A 1,448-nucleotide genomic window follows, 5' to 3' on the forward strand; every position below is an offset into this window, starting at 1 on the left:
CAATCCCTGAGCTAGACACAAAAGTTCTCCAAGTCCCCACTAGATTAGCTAGACATGGAGCACTGATTGGTGCATTTACAAACCTTGAGCTAGACACAGGGTGCTGATTGGTGCATTTAGAAACCTTGGGCTAAACACAGAGTGCTGATTGGTGTATTTACAATCCCTTAGCTAGACACAAAAGTTATCCAAGTCCCCACTAGATTAGCTACACACAGAGCACTGATTGGTGCATTTACAAACCTTGAGCTAGACACAGAGTGCTGATTGGTGTATTTACAATCCCTTAGCTAGACATAAAGGTTCTCCAAGTCCCCACAAGACTCAGGAGCCCAGCTGGCTTCAGCTAGTGGATCCTGCACTGGGACCACAGGTGGAGCTGCCTGCCAGTCCCACACCGTGTGCCCACACTTTTCAGCCCTTGGGTGGTCGATGGGACCGGGTACCACGGAGCAGGGGGCAGCACTCCTTGGGGAGGCTTGGGCGGCACAGGAGCCCACGGCGTCCAGGGGAGGTTCAGGCATGGCAGGCTGGGGAGGCAGCTGAGGCCTCGCAAGAATTTGAGTGCAGCGCCAGTGGGCCGGCACTGCTGGGGGACCTGGCGCACCCTCCGCAGCTTCTGGTCCGGGTGCTAAGCCCCTCACTGCCCAGGGCCAGCGGTGCCAGCCAGCCGCTCCAAGTGCAGGGCCTGCCAAGGCCACGCCCACCCAGAACTCCCCCTGGCCCGCAAGCACCACGCGCAGTCCCAGTTCCTGCCCACGCCTCTCCCTCCACACCTCCCCGCAAGCAGAGGGAGATGGCCCCGGCCTCGGCCAGCCCAGAGAGGGGCCCCCACAGCTCAGTGGCGGGCTGAAGGGCTCCTCGAGCATGGGCAGAGTGGGCACCAAGGTCAAGGAGGTGCTGAGAGCGAGCAAGGGCTGCGAGGGCTGCCAGCACGCTGTCACCTCTCAGTAGTATGTGTGAATCAATAAAGCAAATAATATTTGCTCAGCATTTTTGTACAGATGTCTTTCCAAAAGCCAGGCTCTCTTTCCCACCCCCCTTTGCTCACTTGAAAGACAGACACACAGAGATATATATAGTATCTATCTATATATATATATAGTATCTATATATATAGTATCTATATATAGTATCTATATATAGTATCTATATATATAGTATCTATATATATAGTATCTATATATATAGTATCTATATATATGTGTGTGTATATATGTATATACACACACACACATATAGATAGAAGATAGGTAGATAGATACCACAATAGCATGTTGACAAAAATAAAATAAATAGTATTTTAACAGTGAGAAGGAACTTCAGTTAGTATTCTAAGAACCCTAGTTTAATCTCTAAATTTTATAAAATGAAATTTATAGTGAGAAAGGATAAAAGACAGGGTACCTCTAATAACTCCTTGTTTTTGTTTGTTTTATCTGCTACAC

At 49.0% G+C, this 1,448-nt stretch overlaps 1 annotated feature.

Annotated features, from left to right (window-relative positions):
• Positions 696-1,195: an enhancer, noted in NCBI's record as "H3K4me1 hESC enhancer chr11:39463923-39464422 (GRCh37/hg19 assembly coordinates)". NCBI's record gives its function as "activates a minimal SCP1, AML or CMV promoter by ChIP-STARR-seq in naive H9 embryonic stem cells {active_cell/tissue: H9 hESC(naive)}" and the evidence as "EXISTENCE:reporter gene assay evidence [ECO:0000049][PMID:30033119]".

Source organism: Homo sapiens, chromosome 11 (assembly GCF_000001405.40).
Source record: "Homo sapiens chromosome 11, GRCh38.p14 Primary Assembly".
NCBI classification, from domain to species: Eukaryota; Metazoa; Chordata; class Mammalia; order Primates; family Hominidae; genus Homo; species Homo sapiens.